Raw genomic sequence first — 19,355 nt, forward strand, 5'->3', positions numbered from 1 at the left:
CAAAATTAGCCGGGCGTGGTGACCCTTACCTGTAATCCCAGCTACTCGGGAGGCTGAGGCAGGAGAATCACTTGAACTCAGGAGGCAGAGGTTGCGGTGAGCTGAGATCGTGCCATTGCACTCCAGCCTGGGCGGTCAACAAGAACAAAACTCCGTCTCAAAAAAAAAAAAAAAAAGAAAAGAAAACCAGCTGTGGCCTGGTAGCCGGCCTCCCTGTCTCTGAATATTCACATCCTTGTACAGTCCCTTCCCATATTGTACCAGGGTTGGTTTGTGCGACCATAGAATATGGCAGAAGTGATGGTATGTCACTTCTGAGATTCGGTTATAAAAGACATTGCAGCCACCATCTTGGTCATTCTTTTTGTCTTTCTCTCCATCCCCACTTGGTCTGGAGAAAACCAGCTGCCATGTCATGGGACAGTTCACGTGACAAACCTTTTGCCAGCAACCATGTGAGTTGCTGAGCCTCCTTAGAAGAGTGAAGAAGCCTTCTCAGAAGTGGATCCACCAGCCCTGGTCAAGGTTTCAAATGACAGAAGCCCCCAGTGACATTCTGATTGCAACCTTATCAGAGACTGTGAGCCAGAACCATCCAGTGAAGCAGCTCACTGGATGGTTCTCAGGAACTATGTGAAATGATAAACATTTATAGTCTCATGCTGCTAGTTTTGGGGTAATTTGCTTTTTTTTTTTTTTTTTTGGAGATGGAGTCTAGCTCTGTCTGGAGTGCAGTGGGGTGATCTCGGCTCACTGCAACCTCTACCTCCCAGGCTCAAGCAATTCTCCTGCCTCAGCCTCCCATGTAGCTGGGATTACAGCTACACACCACCACGCCTGGCTAATTTTTGTATTTTAGTAGAGACAGGGTTTCACCATGTCGGCCAGGCTGGTCTTGAACTCCTGACCTCAGGTGATCTGCCCACCTCAGCCTCCCAAAATGCTGGGATTACAGGCATGAGCCACCGCGCCTGGCCGGCAATTTATGTAGCAATAAATACTAATAGTTTACATACATTTTTTTTTCTTTTGAGATGGAGTCTTGCTTTGTTGCCCAGGCTGGAGTGCAATGGTGCGATCTCGGCTCACCACAACTTACACCTCCCGGGTTCAAGCGATTCTCCTGCCTCAGCCTCCTGAGTAGCTGGGATTACAGGTGCACACCGCCATGCCCCACTAATTTTTGTATTTTTAGTAGAGATGGGGTTTCACTATGTTAGCCAGGCTGGTCTGGAACTCCTGACCTCGTGATCCGCCTGCCTTGACCTCCCAAAGTGCTGGGATTACAGGCATGAGCCACCGCACCCAGCAATACATTTTAAGTTTTCATAAACTTTTGAATATAAAGAATTTATTGGGCTCAAGCCCAATTCTATCATTTTTGATCTTTAAAGATCTTCACTGATCCTTGGTAGTTTACAAGCATTCATTTTTTATATAATTGTTATCAGTGTATACATCCTACTTCATATCTGATTTTTCCTCTTAGAATTATTTCATGTATACCAATAGAGTACAAGATTCTTAGCATTTATACTGGCGGTATAGAATTCTCCCCTGTTACTGTGTAACCACGCTACCTCCAATAGTCCCTTTTGTACCTGGTTTGGTCTGTGTGATGATAGAATATAGCAGAAGCAATGGTATATCACTTCTGAGATTAGATTATAAAAGGCATTGTGCTACCATCTTGGTCATTCTAACTTTCTCTCTCTCCCCACTTGCTCTGGGGGAAACCAGCTGCCATGTCATGGGCAGCACTATGGAGCAATACACGTGACAAGCCTTTTGCCAACAACCATGTGAGCTGCTGAGTCTCCTTAGAAGAGCCAAGAAGCCTTCTCAGAAGTGGATCTATACTGGCTGTATAGCATCCTGCCCCGCTACTGTATGTCACACCACCTCAAACAGTCCCTTTTGTTGGAATTTAAATTCCAGTTTTTCAAAATAATAACTGGCACAATAAAAATAGTGCAAATTAGCTGGGCAGTGTAGTGAAAGTTAAATAGATCAGCTCTCTTAGATACATAAAACACAGATAACACAGAAGGGGCAAGTCCTCTTAAAGTACATAGACCGTGAACAAATATTGAACACATGCATTTGTTAAATAAGTGAGCAAATACAAGGCTAACCTAAGACAGCAAGTGCAAAGTAACTAGGTGAACTTACTTGTTTAGATAATAACTTTCTAGAATTCTGTGTGTTTCCTAGAGAAATACAGGAATGACAGCTGACAATAAAGCTTTGGAAAAATCCTGTAAGTAATTGCCTTGGCTCCAAGTATCAAAGCAGAATTTCGGAGAAGGTCCTCCTGCACTAAAGTCATTGTCCCCAGACTATGAGTTTCTGCCTCCTTCTCTTTCAGCATTCTCCTCCCCTCCTCTGGCTGTCCTTTGTCAGACTCTACAATCATGGCTAGAAGAAAAAAGTTGACTTAACCGTTCTTTGTTGAAATTCGGGACTATGTTAGAGATACCAGGTCTCAATCAAATACAGCCTTCAATAAAAGACTCTTACGTAACCAGATCCTATGAGCAGAGAGCCATCGTGCCTCCAACTTAGTTTCTTCAGATTGGCTGGTTTTGGTGCTCAACTTTTGACTTTACCCACCTTCCTGACAAAGTGTTGAGGACCACTAGGTAAGCATGCTATCTTCAACGTTAAAAAAAAAAATCATGATTGAAGGCAGCTGCACTTCATATATCAAGGAGCATTGAATATAACTAACTCTAAAACTTCATCAGGTCATGAGGTTTTATTGACATCAGTGTATTTGGCTTCAGCTGTGATAATCATGTGGCGCAGTCTCTTTTCCTCCCCGCAATGCCTTGCCTCCCTTGGAAGACTCCCTCCACCCCACCCCAGCCCCATTCAGCTTCGTTCAGAAAAACCTTCATTTTTATCTCCCATTAAAGTTTGTCTGATGAAAAGGCTCTGAGGCTCAAATGACAGCTCAGTTGTTTGAAACCTGCTGGGTTAGAGAATGGTGCTATAAGGTTAAGATCAAAAGGTCACCAGGTCAGGGTTTCCTTGCTGAGGAAGAAAAGCTTCAGTGACAGTGACTCAGTGTAAAGTTATCATCACTAGCATAATTAAACACACACACACACACACACACCACAATGCATACACTGTCCCAGCTGGAAGGGGTCAGGGTGGACTTCTGGCTCTGGCCTCCAGCAACCTGGGTTCAAATTCTGCCTCTACCACTTGGCACTGTGGCTTCTTGCAGCTATTTGAACCTCTGTGAGCCCCATTCTTCTTGTCTGCAAACTGTAGATAATAATCATGACTACCTTACAGGAGAAGTAAATTGGTTCAGAGAACACACTTAACTACAGTGCCAAGCATGGAAGTAAGCTCTCAATAAGAATTATTGATTATTAAAACTACATTCTTGGCCAAGTGCAATGACTCACGCATGTAATCCCAGTACTCTAGGAGGCCGAGGCGAGCGGATCACTTGAGGCCAGGAGTTCCAGACCAGCCTGGCCAACAGGGTCAAATCCCATCCCTACTAAAAATACAAAAATTAGCTGGGCATGGTGGCACATATGCCTGTATGTGCCAGCTACTCGGGAGGCTGAGGTGGAAGAATTGCTTGAACTTGAGAGGTGGACGTTGCAGTGAGCTGAGATCGTGCCACTGCACTCCAGCCTGGACAACAGAGCAAGACTCCATCTCAAAATAAATAAATACATAAATAAATTCATAAATAAATAAATGAAAGAAATAAAATTATATTCTTGTTTTAGTTATAACAACATTTTATATGTCTCTCAAGCCAAAGTCTAATAGCATTACAAGTTGTTTTTGCACATGTATCATCTCCCTTTAAAGGACAGATAGTTTCTTGGGATTATTCTTATTTTTGTCCTTTATGAAGCCTAACCCAGCACTTTCAGCACAGCAGGCCTTCAATAAATATTTGGTAAATAAATAAATAAATGTTCTAAATAAAGTGGATCTGCAGGGACAGGTTTGTACACATAATCCCTCTACTTAGGATCCTAGTAGAATGACATACACATTCTGAATGCTCTATAAATATTTTATAATAGTAACAATGATATAATAATTATAATTATGAATGAAGATTACTCTTAGCTCAATTTCCTGAACTAGAATTATGTCCTTCAGCCACGGAGAAAATGTATTCATACAGGGTTCCAGCTTAATGTAAACAGAATTGTAACTTGATTTTTAAAATAACTAAAGCAAATGAACCAATGTGTCCTTTCCTTTCCTTTCAAACAGTTGTTTCCAGGAACCAGAAGTGTGGGGCTATCATATGCAAGTTGTGATAAATTAGGTCTTTTCCTTCAACATTTAGTCTCAAAAAAAAGAAAAAAAGGAAAAGAAGACTCCTTAAGGGCAGTATGACCATGGGCAAGGGTGAGGGAACACACAGCTTTCCTTAGTAAATCTCAAGCCTCCAAGGTTGGCGTTGGAAAGGATCTGCAGGTAGCAAATCCAGCTGTCCCACTGTGCACGCCCTCCCCAGTTCACCTTTTCTCTGAGGGAGACTCATTGGTGCTCAGGTATGCATGTGACTCTTCACACACACACACACACTCACACTCACACTCTTGCCACCATGACTTCCATTTAATGTTCAAGAATTCTTCTCTCACAGCTCTGTAAAATATTTGAGAAGGACAAAAACTTTCAAAAAACCCTTAATTATAACTGTAGTATATAACCATTTTTTTAAATGAAATTAAGGAGAGTATAAATTGGAAGGCTGAGGTGGGCAGATTGCTTGAGCTCAGGAGTTTGAGATCAGCCTGGGAAACATGGCAAAACCTGTCTTGACAAAAAATACAAAAAATTAGCCAGGCGTGGTGGCGTGTGCCTGTGGTCCCAGCTACTTGGGAAGCGGAGGTAGGAGGATCAGTTGAGCCCGGGAGGTCAAGGGTGCAGTGAGCCGTGATTGTGCCACTGCACTCCAGCCTGGGCGACAGAGTGAGACCCTGTATTAACCCCCCACACACACACACCCACACACACAAGAGTATAAAGAAGAAAATTACTTCTAGGGACCACCCCAGTTCCATCCGTCCCAAAGGTCTGGTATGACTTCGGGGATCTCTCGCTGGGGTGTCTTCCTTGCTCCCTCCTGACTTGCTTCCTTGCTGCCATATACCCTCTTAGGCCCTGATGGGAAACTCAGGGCACGAGATTTCTACCTGCAGCATACCCAAGGCTCATTCTGATCCAACTTACTCTGTGAGGTTTGATCCTTACTGCAACTTAATGAAAGAGGCACAGGTAGGTATTACTGCCATTTTACAGACAAGAAACTTGAGGCTTGGGGAGATTCAACAGTTGGGCTATTGCTATTTGCACACAATTCCAAGTATTTAGCAGATAACTAATTGCACCACACGAAGGTCTACTACAGAAATGGGCTGATGGGGTGAAACTCGGAACCAGGGCAGATGCTCTTTAACTACAAAGCTTGTATAACGCGTGGTCATGTTCAGTATTAATACTAGATTAGCTTAACTGAATTCTGAGACAATGGACACAAGACAAATTAGATTTGATGAGAAAGGAGGGAGAGGAAAGGTTCTAAACATGGGCATGCTGTCAGTAGGATAGTCCTCCTTGTGACCCACAACTGACAGAATGGAGGAAAATATTTTAAATCATATATCAGATAAAGACTAGTATCACTTATCAGATATGAATAAAGACTTCTTACAATTCAATAATAAAAAGACACATAATCTAATTTAACAATAGACAAAAGATGTGAATGGACATTTCTCCAAAGAAAATATACAAATGGCCAATACGAATTCTCAACATAATTAGTCTTAGAGAAAAGCAAATTAAAGCCACAGTGAGATACTACTTCATAGCCACTAGGATATCTATAATCAAAAAGAGGATAACAACAACTGTTGGCAAAGATTTGGAGAAATTAGGACCCTTATACATTGTTAACAGGAATCTAAAAGTGTATAGCTACTTTGGAAAACAGTTTGGTAGTTCCTCAAAAAGTTGAACATGGAGTTGGCTGGGCGAGGTGGCTCACGCCTTTAATCCCAGCACTTTGGGAGGCCGAGGAGGGTGGATCACGAGGTCAGGAGATCAAGACCATCCTGGCCAGCACAGTGGAACCCTGTCTCTACTAAAAATAAAAAAAAATTAGCCAGGCGTGGTGGCGAGCGCCTGTAGTCCCAGCTACTCGGGAGGCTGAGGCAGGAGAATGGCATGAACCTGGGAGGCGGAGCTTGCAGTGAGCCGAGATCACACCACTGCACTCCAACCTGGGCAACAGAGCAAGACTCTGTCTCAAAAAAAAAAAAAAAGTTAAACGCAGAGTTATCATATGACCAAGAAATTCCATTCCTAGATACATACCTAAGAGAGAGGAAAACATGTTTATTCAAAAACATGCACTTGAATATTCATAGCAGCATTATTAATAATAGCCCAAAGTGGAACAACCTCAGTGTCCATCAAAGGATGAATGGATAAACAAAATGTGGTACATCCACACAATAGAATATTGTCCAGCAATAAAAAGGAAAGATGTACAGAAGCCCCAGGAGCCACAGCCCCAGATGAAGCTGGCATCCCTGGGCCCAATTCCTGCTGCCACAGTTCCACTATTGCCAGCCCCCAGACCTTGGAGATCCTCCACCGCCGACAAGGCTGCTACCAACTGCCATCCTTGCAGAGGGGGCTCCTGCAAATCTTTTACCTTGTACTTGAAGCAGGGGCCAGGGAAGAGGACTCTGGAAAGGACATGTGGGCCTGAGACACCTTAAAAACAGGAAAAGCCCTGAGGAGCACGAAGGGGAAACTTTTTTACCTGTACCCTTTTGGGGACTTTTGGTTAAAACTGAGAATTACATTGACATAGATCAATAGGAGAAATGCATACGAATTTGTTTAATATAAGTTTTGTGTGGCATAGGAGACTTTACAAGGAAATGAAGACCCAAAGATGCAATTAGAGATGAACATGTATATACTGATTTAGACAAAGAGAAGTACTTTATGAAAATGTGACAAGGAAAAGGGGCTTGCTAGTTAATTGGTGAAGAAGTGGTGAAGAGGATAAGGATTAGTCTAACAAGTTTGTTTGTAATATTTCCCTCAGACTCTTCCCCTCCTTGATGATGATAATATTTCCTTCTGGTAGAGAGAGAACATCTTTTGCATGGGAATTTTATCTGCTGCTTTTAAGAAACAGAAGGAAGGGTAGAGTGATCTTCTTGCACCTGCTGTTTTTTAAGCGCCTTTAACTCAAAATGGTCAACATGCTAGAGTAGCATATTTTTAACTCCTTCAAGCAGCTACAACAAAATGGGGAGAAAAAATAGTTACAACTGTGGCAGTAACCTACACGTGTCAAACATCTCTCATGAAGCAAAATTAACAAGAATAATAAACAAGTGACATGTCAGCTATGGAGTTATCCTCTTACTGAAAGAGATCCCATAGATAATAGGAATTTCAAAAAATCTGTAATGGAAACTGGCTTTAATGTAACTGGTAACTCCATAAGGCTCTTCACTCTGAACCACTCATTAACAAGTGCTTCAGTTGATGAGCAAGTTGGTTCTTATCCTGGACTGCAGATGCCATTAGGTCTCTGCTGGCCCTATGCTGATGAAGACTTTTTTAAGGATGAAAATGAGCCCCATGTTAATTCATGTTCAACTACAGAAAACAACAAGTGAAACTTTGTTTGCTCCAAATTGGAAACTGAAATATGGAAACAGCAGTGTGGAAGGAAATTTAACATATGAAGGTGATTTATCAGAAAACGAAAAGGCAAAGGATACTTTATTCAATTATATTTAAAGGAGGGACCTAAACTGAAAGCCAGAAACAACAGAAAATGTTGTAGAATCTTTCACAGAGGAGCCAAGTGAAGTTTTTCCATACCCTGATTTTCTCCCTCCTACGGAGCTTCAGTACCCTGGACTTGCACAGATGAGGCCCTCACAAAATCTGAAAATTGGAAAGCAACAGGGGAACCTTCAGAAAGCTCTATTATTGGAAATGGAAAGATTACAACATATGACTATACAAAAAGAGAGGTCAAAGTTACAAACTACTTTCTGTACCCCAGCAGTTACTGAATGACTTTCTTCCTCCAAAGCTATACTGAGAGTGGGACAGCCAAAACTTTCTGATTCACTGAGTCTTCAGACATCTCGTGTAGATAAAAGTTGAGAAAAAAGAAAAAAAAAACCAATCGGGTTCTTTCAAGCTTGAGCAAAATGCTTCAAAATGGATTTGGAGCAATGCTGGAAAATATAAATGAAATTCTAGACCACCAACTCTAAAAAGTTCATCCACCACAAAACAGTTGGTTGCAACTTAGGACTTTAAAACTCTTAAAAGTTCATTTTTAAATCCGTGGCAAGAACTTTCAGCAAGGACCAGACAACGCACTGACTGGTTAAAGTGGCCTCAATAAGGTGTCTGCCCCCAAGGTTTTCAGTACCAGTCTCCATCTTTTCTTGAAAATGAGAAGAAATAAATCAAGGCACCAAGAACCAATCACAAACTTTATAAAAAAAAAATAGTGTTGCATAGACCATTCTATATTTAGAAGCTATTTGTTGCCTTCATTTATAGCTAAGGGCTTATGTATTGACTAAAAATAATTCTTTTCTTTCATATATCTCAGTGTGAGCAAATCTATTCCAAGAAGCCCAGCTAAAATATGGTTCATTGTTCCCAGATACAGGTATTCGCCCACGCACAGACATACACACACACACACACACACACACACACCCCAATTGCTTGATATGATATCGATTGGAATTTGTGAAAATTACTGCTGAGAGTATTTTAATTTTCTTAATTGTTACTTTTTAAAAAAATAGAGATGAGGTCTCACTTTATTGCCCAGGCTGGTCTCAATCCAATTCCTGGGCTCAAGCTATCCTCCTGCTTTGGGATCTCCAAATGATGGGATTATAGGCACAAGCGCCCAGCCTCGCGAGAGTCTTTATATAAATCCAAGGGCTTCTATGCTGACATGTTTGACAATCTTTCGCATGTTATATTTCAAGAAATGTTTCACTTAGTAAACGGTTCTATTCAAAGATTGTTCTTTTGTGACAGTTTTCCAGTATAATTCTATCATCAGTAAATGGTATAATGGGTAGGGGGAGGAAGAAAGTACTGAAACATACTACAGCATGGATGAGCCTTGCAACTATTATGTTAAGTGAAAGAAGCTAGTAGCATGTTGTTATGTTCCTAGTTATATGCAACGTCCAGAATCAGCAAATCCATAGAGACAGAAAGTAAATTAGTGGTAGCCAGCGGCTGGGAGTAGGGAGGAATGGGGAGTGACTAATGGGTATGGGGTTTCTTACTGGGATGTCAATGTCTGGAATTAGTGGTGATGGTTGTGTGACTTTGGGAATATATTCAAAACCACTGAATTATACATTTTGGGAGTAAATTGTATGGCATGTGAATTGTATGTCAATAAAATAACTAAATTAAAAATGAAATTTCAAGTATAAATCCACTAAAAATTCAGAATCTGCCATACTTTTGATTGATTCGTTTTGCTTACTCTTGAGGGCCTATCAATGTTTACTGACTAAATGCAAAGAGGGAGAAATAAAGGAGAGGTGAAGGCTGGGAATTCTGGGGATGGAGAGCACTTTTTTTTTTTTTTTCTTAGAGTCGTGCTCTGTCGCCCAGGCCAAAGTGCAGTGGCATGATCTCGGCTCACTGCAACCTCAGCTTCCCGGGTTCAAGGATTCTCCTGCCTCAGCCTCCCGAGTAGCTGGGATTACAGGTGCACGTCACCACGCCCAGCGAATTTTTTTGTATTTTTTAGTAGACATGGGGTTTCACCATGTTGGCCAGGCCGGTGTTGAACTCCTGGCCTCAAGTGATCCACCCATCTCGGCCTCACAAAGTGCTGGGATTATAGGTGTGAGCCAGTGCACCCGGTCGAGGGCACTATTTATTTATTTATTTTTGAGACAGGGTCACACTCTGTAGCCTGGACTAGAATGCAGTGGCTCAATCTCTGCTCACTGCCGCCTCGACCTCCAGGGCTCAGGCGATCCTCCTACCTTAGCCTCCAGAGTAGCTGGGACTACAGGCGCGCGCCATCGCGCCCAGCTGATTTTTTTTTTTTTTTTTTTTTTTTTTTGGTGAAAACAGAATTTCACTGTATTGCCCAGAACTCCTGGGGTCAACTGATCTACCTGTCTCGGCCTCCCAAAGTGTGAGGATTATAGGCCTGAGCCACTGCGCCTGGCCGACGAGCACTTTTAAAATGCAGGAGTCTTCCTGCCTCTGATATCTCATCCCTTATCACCATGCAAACAATTCTCCTTTTCATAGAAGAGTAGACATTTGGGGCGGGGTGGTGGTGGTGGGGGATTTTAGAAAATATCTACTGCATCCAAATGCCCTACTCTACAGACGAAAAAGCAAGGCCCAGGAGGAGGAAAGAGTTTGCTTACTGCCACCCAGTGAGCTGGCAAAGGCGCTGAGATTCAAAATGAGCTTTCCTGCCTTCACATATCTTCCGGCTGCCCTTTGCCTATTCCCTAAACAGTCAGGAGCCATCAAGTTCAGGAATTTGCAGGTGTGCTTCGCTGTGAACTGTGGAAAAGCAGCGTCTTCTCCCCAGAGGCAAGCATGTCGCCTTGTGAAGTTTGATGGCTCTTCACTTGCACACTCACAAAAAAGACTGAGCGTGTGTAACGCCCTGCTGGATGTGTGCGGTGCTAGAGAGCTTGGGGGTGAGGGGAGGACTCTCTCCCTTAAGAAAATCAGTTGACTGCAGAGCTAACATTGTTTTTTGAGTAATACCTGGTTTTTATAAAGTCGTCCCTTCAGTTCCCAAGCTCCTCTTCTGTTTGTTCAAGCCACCTTCAATTTGAAAAAGACTGAAGTCACAGCTTCTCAATCCCTACTAATTTCTCATGGACCTACTGGATTGCTCCAAATCGAGTATTTGGGACTGAACTAGGAAGCCAGTTCAATCCTGAGCCCCCGAGGCAGGCGTTGGGTCTTCTGTGGAGTCCCCAGAGACCTGCAACCTTCTGAACACGCATCCTCCCCTTTCCGCCGAGGACTCTGTCCTGCAGCCGAGCCAGGGCGAATGCACGGAGGTCACAAGGGAGGTGCCCTTGGAGGCGGGAGGTTTCTGGCCGCCGGGGCGACCGTGCTGACGAGGCACCTGCAGGAAACAGAGCTCTGCACGCTCCGGTCCCCCTCACCCGGGGAGGGAGAGGAGGTACAGAGGCGCTGGGGGAGGACGTCGAGCAGGCCAGCCTCGTTGCCAGAACCCCCGCCCCAGCCGGAGATGGGAGCACCGCACCGTCTCACGGGGGCTGGATTTCTTCTCCCCTTGCGGGTGTGTGTGCGAGGATGGACGTGGTAAATACGGGTTGGCAGAAGGAGCGAACCGCGGTGGAGGAAGTTCTTCTGCTTAGTTCTCGCCGCGGCGAGGCCCGCGGGCCAGGCGCGGCGACGAAGGTGCACGAAGGTGCCCCGCGGGCCTGGTGGAGTTGCAGCGGCGCGCAGGCGCACTGAGGGCCGCCCGCGGCCGGCTCCGCGGTACAAAGAGCGCCCCCGCGGGGAGCCGGGCGTCCTCTGGGCGGAGGGAGCAGCCGGGGCTTCGCCGGCCCGCGCCGTTCTTCTCACGCGCCGCTCCGGGGCGCAGCCACAGCTGTCGCCCACCGCGGGTGAGAGGCTTGCTGGTCCGCCCCGGCTTCCCCGCCCCGGCGGCGGCCGTGCGGTTCGGGCTTTAATTCTGGCGCTTGCCAGCCGGGGCCGACTCCGCCCCCTGCGCCCCGCCCTTCCCCGAGCTCCGGGTCCGCGGCGGAGCGAGCGAGCGGCCGGCAGGTTGGGAGGAGCGGCCGAAGGTGAGTGACGCGGCGGGGCCGTGCCGCGCCCCGTGCCGCGGCGAGGTTGTCCCGGAGCGCGAGGCCCCTACCCCTGCCTCGGGCTGGCCCCGCGCGGAGCCGACTTGGCGCGCGCCGGGGTTGCGCGGCGGCCGTGGCGGTGGCGGAGGGCAGCCCCCGCGGGCTCCCGCTCGTGCGGGTGAACCCGGCGGCCTCGGGGCGGTCCTGGGGGGGGGTCCGAGAGGTGGCGTCGGCCCCGCGGCCGTCGGAGTTTGGCGCGCTCTGCAGCGGCGGCGCTCGGCCGGTCTGGAGGAGGGAGAGGCGCGCCGGGCACGGAGCAGCGAGAAAGTTCGGGCCGGGCCGGCCGGCGGGAGGGTGCGGGCGCCTGGCTACCCCGGCCCGGCGCTCTGTCCCTCGGATGCCTCTGGGCCCTTCCCTAGCCCGGGGCGGAACGGGGGACCCTCTCTGAAGCGGCTCTCCGTGGAGTTGGATGTTGCCCTTCGCGGGAGGGAGTGGCGGTCAAGACCCCTTTATCCTCGGCCCCAGAGGGGCAGGTGGCCTCGGGTCGCCCTCCGCCAACTCCGAGGTGGCTTCGGCCGGGGCTGGAGGGCGGGGAGGCGGGGGAGGGGCGTGGGCGCTGCGGCCTCTGGGGCGGCCCAACCCGGCGCGGGCAGCGTGGGTTTCCGAGGTCCCGCGGTTCCAGGTCGAGGGAAGGTGTAGGGGCCCTGAAGCGGGCTGGTCCCCGAATGTTGCGTTTTCTGTGCCGCTTTGGGCAACACGCAGTGGCGCTCGCGGCAGCCACGGCTCCTTGACCGTTCATCTCCTTCACCCGGGTCCCGTGGAACTTTCAGAGGCAACTGTTCTTGGTGGCTCTTGCGGGTCAGCACGAGCCGTGCTGCACGAGCGTGACCTAGTGAAGGCCTTGGGCGAGTTGGCGTTAACAATTTATGGCGTCCGCCAGCGCTCGCTTTCCGCACGTGGCCTCTGCGGAGGGTCAGCCCATCTTATTAAATAGTGGATTCTATTAGACCCTGATACCCGAGGCTAATAAGGAAGCTTAATCATCCAGATGTGTAATCGTGCAGTTCCTTTCCTCACCGTCATTGCCCCCCACCTCTGGAGCTGAATGGAAATGAGGGTCTGTTTGCTTATATTGAATTCCTGAGTTTATTCAAGTTCATTTTTAGGTGGCGTTAACAGCTAAGTAGCTGTTCATCTGCCAGTTTCTCCTTTCATCCAACTTTCTCTACTAAAATGTTGAGCACGTTTTATTTAAAAAAAATTGAAGTGTAATAAACATATAAATTTACTCTTCTAAGGTCAAAATTCAGTGGTTTTTAATATATCCGTAAAGTTATGAAATCATCACTACCATCTGATTCCATTTCGTTGCCCCCAAAAAGAACCCCTATACCGATTAGCAGTCATTCTTCCATCTCCCAGCCCTTCTCCCTCATTTTAAGGCAGCTACTTAGGAAGTTTTTCTAAGATAGAGACTGAGTGAGAAAACTGAGAGGTGATTAACTTTGATCCTTTTTCTGTTACTAGGTTTGGGGAAAGGTGCTGCTGAAGCAATGGAAGAAAAATTAAGTATTGGCTGTCCTATGGGGAGGTTAAAATGAATAAGGATGGAAGAGAAGCTGCCAGTAGAGGAATAATTGCCTCCTGTAGAGACCCACAAGTTGGGAATACATTTTATCCCCTTAGGGCACAGGGATGCTTTCTGGGCTCTAGACTTGCCTAGTCCATAAATCACTCTAGTCGAGGTTCTGCCTCAGCGAAAGTGAGTTCTGGGTGTGTGTGTGTGTGTGTGTGCGTGTGCGTGCGCGCTCGGCAGGGAATGTTAGAAGGAAAAAAGACTAGGCTTAAAAGTAATTTTTTAAAATATCCAAACTGGCCCCAAAGAAAGAAACCAAAAAACCACAGGCAAATGGCCACTGGAATTGATACATTCAAGACTAGTTTCATTTCATGAGTATCAGTTCACAAATAGTTCTGAGTTAATGTGTGCATACATTAACTTTTTATCCCAAGTGGGAGGAGGAGGATGGAAAAGGATCTAGTTGGGGGCAGTGCAAGGAACTGGGAAGAGGAATGGGATAATGGCCGAAAGGGGCAGTGCTTGTGGGAGCTGAGGACTGTTGAGATGGAATAACTATAGGGTGAGCAGATTCTGAAAGAGCAGAGTGGGTCTGTGAAAAGTTGGACACTTCACTCGGGCTTTTTGTTGGATAATGTGTGCATGTTTTAAAAATCATTTTTAGTAAGGAGAGTTGAAGCTATCCAAATTATGCAACATCCACTACACTTCTCACTCACCCTTCAATAAGAAAAGTCAACTTGTTTTCAAGTGTTTCGGGAAGTTTTAGGCCTGTTGCATGGGTGACAGCTTATGCCATCTTTTTTTTTTTTTTTTGGTAATTTAGAACATTGACATAGCGAGACTCCGTCTCTACAAAAAAAATAAAAAATAACCGGATATGGTGGCACATGCACCTGTAGTCCCAGCTACTTGGGAGGCTGAGGCAGGAGGATTGCTTTAGCCCAGGAGTTTGAGGCTGCAGTGAACTATGATCATGCCACTGCACTCCAGCCTAGATGACCGAGCAATATCCTCTCTCAAAACAAGATGAGCTGTACCATAGGTATACATATCCCACACCCCCAGCCCTGCCGACGGAGTTTTGCTCTTGTCAGCCAGGCTACAGTGCAATGTCACAGTATCAGCTCACTGCAACCTCCGCCTCCCAGGTTTAAGCGATTCTCCTGCCTCAGCCTCCCAAGTAGCTGGGATTACAGGCACCTGCCACCATGCCCGGCTAATTTTTTTTTTTTTTTTTTTGAGATGGAGTCTCGATCTGTTGCCAGGCTGGAGTGCAGTGGCGCGATCTCAGCTCACTGCAACCTCCGCCTCCTGGGTTCAAGCGATTCTCGTGCCTCAGCCTCCCGAGTAGCTGGGACTACAGGCACCGTGTCACCACACCCAGCTAATTTTTGTATTTTTAGTAGAGACAGGGTTTCACTATGTTGGCCAGGATGGTCTCAATCTCTTGACATCGTGATGTGCCCACCTCGGCCTCTCAAAGTGTCAGGATTACAGGTGTGAGCCACCATGCCAGTTTTTGTATTTTTAGTAGAGACGGGGTTTCACCGTGTTGGTCAGGCTGGTCTCCAACTCCTGACCTTGTGATCCGCCCACCTCAGCCTCCCAAAGTGCTGAGGGATTACAGGCATGCGCCCCCACACTTGGCTAATTTTTGTATTTTTGTTAGAGACGGGGGTTTTACCATGTTGGCCAGGCTGGTCTTGAACTCGTGACGTCAGGTTATCCATCCGCCTCTGCCTCCCAAAGTGTTGGGATTACAGGTGTGAGACACCCTGCTCAGCCTTTTTTTTTTTTTTTTTTTTTTTTTTTTTTTTTTGAGATGGAGTTTCTTTCTTGTTGCCCAGGCTGGAGTGCATTGGGGTGATCTCAGCTCACTGCAACCTCTGCCTCCCGGGTTCAAGCGATTCTCTGCCTCAGCCTCCTGAGTAGCTGGGATTGCAGGCATCTGCCACCATGCCCGGCTAATTTTGTATGTTTAGTAGAAACGGGGTTTCTCCATGTTGGTCAGGCTGGTCTCGAACTCCCGACCTCAGGTGATCCGCCTGCCTTGGCCTCCCAAAGTGCTGGCATTACAGGCGTGAGCCACTGTGCCCAGCCTGTAGCTATACATCTTAAGAGTACATCTTCACAAATTGTCACAAAGTGAACATAAACATATAACAAGTACTCACGGAAAGAACCAAAATATTGCCAGCATTGCAGAAGTGCCCCTATACTCTTGTCCAATCACTGCCCCTCCCGAAGAGTAACCGTTGTGCCAACTGTGGATTAGTTTTATCTGTTTTCATGCTCTACACAGACTCACACGGTATATAGCTTTTAGTATCCTGGTTTCTTTCTCAACATTATATTTGTGAGATTCAGCTGTGTTGTTGCTTGTGGCTGTAGTTCAGTTATTTTCACTGCTGTGTAATATTCAATTGTATGACTACAATTTATCAATTTTTAGGTTTGAGGGGCATTTACATAGTTTCCAGTTTCTTACATGGTAAGTAGTGTGACTATGAACATTCTAATTCTAGTACACGTCTTGATACACAATATCCAATACAAATGTGTACATTTGTACAAATTCTATTCAGAAGTAGAATTTCCCAGTTCCAAACTAGGATTCAGTTTAGAGGTACAGTCATGCGGATTTCTGAAGTGGTTGTAGAGTTTATACTTCTACCCGTAGTGTGAGAGAGTTCTGTTGTGTCCTTTTTAAATTGGAAGAGCAGTAGATCTGCAGAGTTTGGCAAATGGACAAAATATGACCTATTTATTATTTTTTTTTTGGAGGCGGAGTCTTGCTCTGTCACCAGGATGAGTGCAGTGGCGCGATCTTGACTCACTGGAACCTCTGCCTCCTGAGTTCAAGCAATTCTCCTGCCTCAGCCTCCCGATTAGCTGGAACTACAGGCACACGCCACCACGCCCAGCTAATTTTTGTACTTTTAGTAGACACGGGGTTTCACCATGTTGGCCGGGATGGTCTCCATCTCCTGACCTCGTGATCCACCCACCTCGGCCTCCCAAAGTGCTGTGATTACAGGCGTGAGCCACTGGCCCAATATGACCTATATTTACCCCATCCTAGCAGACTAATTATTTGTTGTCTTCACTTCCAGTGCTTTTCCATGTCTGTTCATGTTTTTATGAAGTCACAATTCTAATATTCAATTTTGTATTTTGTTTCTTAACACAGTATCTTAATATTGCTTCAGTCTCTGACTTTTTAATCCCTGCATATGCCTAAGGATATGCTTTCATTTAATAATCCTCTTATTAGAAATGTGTGTTAATTTCTGGTGTTTTACTAGTACATACCGTTGTGGAAATCATCTTTGTGCATATAGTTTTTACCTCCCTCTTGGGTATTTCATAAATTTGAGATTTTTGTTTATGTGGCTTGGGATCTTTGTTAAACTGCTGCCTGCAGAGTTATCCTTGAACCTAATATGGAATTGATTAAAGAAATCTTTTTTATTTTTTTGAGACAGGATATCATTGTGTCACCCAGGCTGGAGTGCAGTGACAGGATCAGAGCTCGCTGTAACCGTGAACTGCTGGGCCCAAGCAATCCTCCCGCCTCAGCCTGCCTCCCGAGTAGCTGGGACTACAGGCATGTGCCACTGCACTCAGCTAATTTTTCCTTTTTTTTTTTTTTAGTTGTAGAGATGGGGTCTTGCTAGGTTGTCCAGGCGGGTCTCAAACTCCTGGCCTCAAACAATCCTCCCTCCTTGCCCTCCTAAAAGTGCTGGGATTACAGGTGTGAGCCACTGCACCCAGTCTAAGAAATCTTTAAATTGCTAATATGTTACCTGCAAAAGGGTGTCTCATTGGGTTAAATTGCAATTCTGAAAATAATGGTGAGGTTGACCATGATAACTTCTTTAAAAATAGCATAAATTGAACCTTTGTGGCAATTTCATTTAGGTATCACTGATTAATTTTCTTTATATGGTCCTGTTTACAAAGGTATTGAGCCAAGAGCTTGAAAGGATATAAGAAGGATCATACCATTAAGTAGTTGATTGTCCAGAAATTATATCTAATAATTAAAAATACCAGTTAGGCAAAATTCTTACACATGACCAAGGAGTGTTCATTCTACAAATGCAGTGCTTGTTTAAGTTCTGAGGGAGAAGTCTTTCTTGTCTAGATGATTAGGAGCTGCTTCCCCCAAAAGTAAGACTTGAGCTCAGCTTTAAGGAGTCTCTAGAAATTGGCTAGGGAGCAGACATCACTAAAGAGACACTGAGCCTTCTCAAGGAGAGAGATCAGCGGTGCATAGGGAGAGCCCCGGTTGACCACTGGACAGTGGGGTTGGTGATGCTGGCTTCCTTACTATTCTTTTTCTGGAAGATACCGAAAATAAATGAACTAATATATAGGCCGAAAAAAGTACTTGGAGGATTTTGGGAGAAAGCTGTTTGGTACATTCAAGTCAGCATCATGGGGTTTAATGGTAAACACCTGCCAGAGATTAGAATGCAGTAGGCTGCTTTTTTGCCTAATTATAGATCTTAACTCCTTTCCCCTCAGGTAAAATTCAGTGATAATTTCTCTAAGATGAAGGCTGCTAGACCAGCCTTCATTCAGAATAAGCCAATATCACTTAACTTTAGTAAACAGTACTTAAATTTGTATTATGTGCAAGGCCCTGGTGGGGGAAATCAGAGACTAGAAAGCTAAGAGTTCATAGGGAATGAATGTATAATGATGCAAAATTGTATTAATAGGCAAAATGTTAGAAATACTCAATATCGATACAAAAGGTTCACTCTGGAAAGGAAAGGGATGGAGAAATTAATGCTGAGTAGAGAGATCTGGGTGATATTTAGGGGGATTTGGCCTTGAAAAATGTGTATGGGTGGGAATTAGAGTAAAGGGCACTGCATTTAGGCAATAGGTTTTGAAAAAGTAAAAGGTGGCAGTGCTTGACACATAATACCATGGTCAGTCATAGGCTTGGAGACCCAGGTGAATGGCAATTTGAGATTGTACCTTTCTTCCTGTGACTTGTGACTGCTGAGCCAGCCTGGTGATCTCTGTGGAAATATTGTAGGTGTAGGCCCAGGCTGGCTACTTTTAATCTAGGATCTGTTGCTTGCTGTGTGACCTTTGGCACAGTTACTAAACCTCTCTGTGTGTCAATTTCCCATCTATAAACAGGGATAATAAAAGCATCTCCTTTATTGGGTACTTGTGAGGATTGAATGAGTTAAAACCAACTCTGTTGGTTGAGGCAGTCACCTGTCCAGACTCAAGAACACTTAGAAGGGTGGTTGGTATACAGTAAGTTTTATACATGTTTGCTGTTATTCCCTTAATTTTTGAATTTCTGAATTATAGAATTTCTAATACTCACACATAGTGTAAATAATATAAACAACAAAGGGTTTAAAATAAAAACAAAACTCATCATTCTTGTCTGGTCCCAACTCAGCTACAGTCTTGGTTTAGGTGTGATAACTGCTGTTTCTGTTTTTAGTTCTTCTAGTGGTTATTTTAGCAAATTACCCCCCAAAATTTAGTGGCTCAAAAATTTGTTTTATGGTGTTTTGGATTCTGTGGGTCAGGGATTCAGGCAGGGCTGGGCTGGGTGATTCTGCTGCTTTCGGTGTTGACTGAGGTCATTCCCTGGTACCCAGCTGGTGGATGTGCTGGTCCACTGGCTCCAAAAAGGCTTTGCTCCCATGACTATTGCCTTAGTGGGAGTAGCTGGAATGCTGGGCTCAGCAATGACTGTTGAGCAGAGCACCTACACATGTTGACTTCATTTGTCTTCATGGCAACTACATGTCTTCATGGTGACTTCAGCATGGTGGCTCCAGGTAGTTGAACTTGTGTGGCAGCAGGCTTCCCTCATGTGTTACTAAGGGCTCTCCAGAGAAACATAA

The 19,355-nt window shown here is 45.4% G+C and overlaps 2 protein-coding genes and 1 pseudogene across 36 annotated transcripts in view, besides 1 other annotated feature; 2 read left to right on the plus strand and 1 right to left on the minus strand.

Moving 5' to 3' along the window:
- KANK1 (KN motif and ankyrin repeat domains 1) overlaps window positions 1-19,355 on the plus strand; it is a 275,809-nt gene that overhangs the window by 22,575 nt on the left and 233,879 nt on the right. For 15 of the 35 annotated variants that reach the window (XM_024447463.2, NM_001438412.1, XM_047423069.1 and 12 more), the window contains exon 1: window positions 11,826-11,885. The exons of 19 other annotated variants lie outside the window; for them this stretch is intronic. The gene's annotated coding sequence lies outside the window, so the exon portion shown is untranslated. Of the gene's footprint in view, window positions 1-11,153; window positions 11,375-11,825; window positions 11,886-19,355 lie in introns of those variants that run through there. One more of the 35 variants, XM_047423057.1, reaches the window with a different exon arrangement.
- Window positions 6,385-12,684, minus strand: LOC105375947 (translation initiation factor IF-2-like). The gene is made up of 4 exons (XM_047424276.1): window positions 12,391-12,684; window positions 12,070-12,300; window positions 10,828-11,952; window positions 6,385-7,977 (listed from the first exon to the last, which is right to left on the minus strand). Exons 1-3 carry the CDS (start codon window positions 12,682-12,684, stop codon window positions 11,131-11,133), a joined length of 1,347 nt encoding a protein of 448 aa, XP_047280232.1. The 3' UTR covers window positions 6,385-7,977; window positions 10,828-11,130.
- FAM217AP1 (family with sequence similarity 217 member A pseudogene 1) lies at window positions 7,390-8,824 on the plus strand (annotated as a pseudogene).
- Window positions 11,462-11,951: a silencer, noted in NCBI's record as "silent region_19725". NCBI's record gives its function as "represses an Ori minimal core promoter by ATAC-STARR-seq in GM12878 lymphoblastoid cells {active_cell/tissue: GM12878}" and the evidence as "EXISTENCE:reporter gene assay evidence [ECO:0000049][PMID:35858748]".

This window comes from Homo sapiens, chromosome 9 (genome assembly GCF_000001405.40).
Source record: "Homo sapiens chromosome 9, GRCh38.p14 Primary Assembly".
In the NCBI taxonomy this organism is placed as follows: Eukaryota; Metazoa; Chordata; class Mammalia; order Primates; family Hominidae; genus Homo; species Homo sapiens.

Bases quoted from the DNA above. Each gene is read 5' to 3' on its own strand.
- LOC105375947 (XM_047424276.1), bottom strand. From the start codon at position 12,684: ATGAACGGTCAAGGAGCCGTGGCTGCCGCGAGCGCCACTGCGTGTTGC. The intron at 12,301-12,390 runs GTCTTGACCGCC...GCCCCGGGCTAG, and splicing joins CTGGGGCCGAGGATAAAGGG to GGAAGGGCCCAGAGGCATCC. The intron at 11,953-12,069 runs GTTCACCCGCAC...AGGCAGGGGTAG, and splicing joins GACCGCCCCGAGGCCGCCGG to GGGCCTCGCGCTCCGGGACA.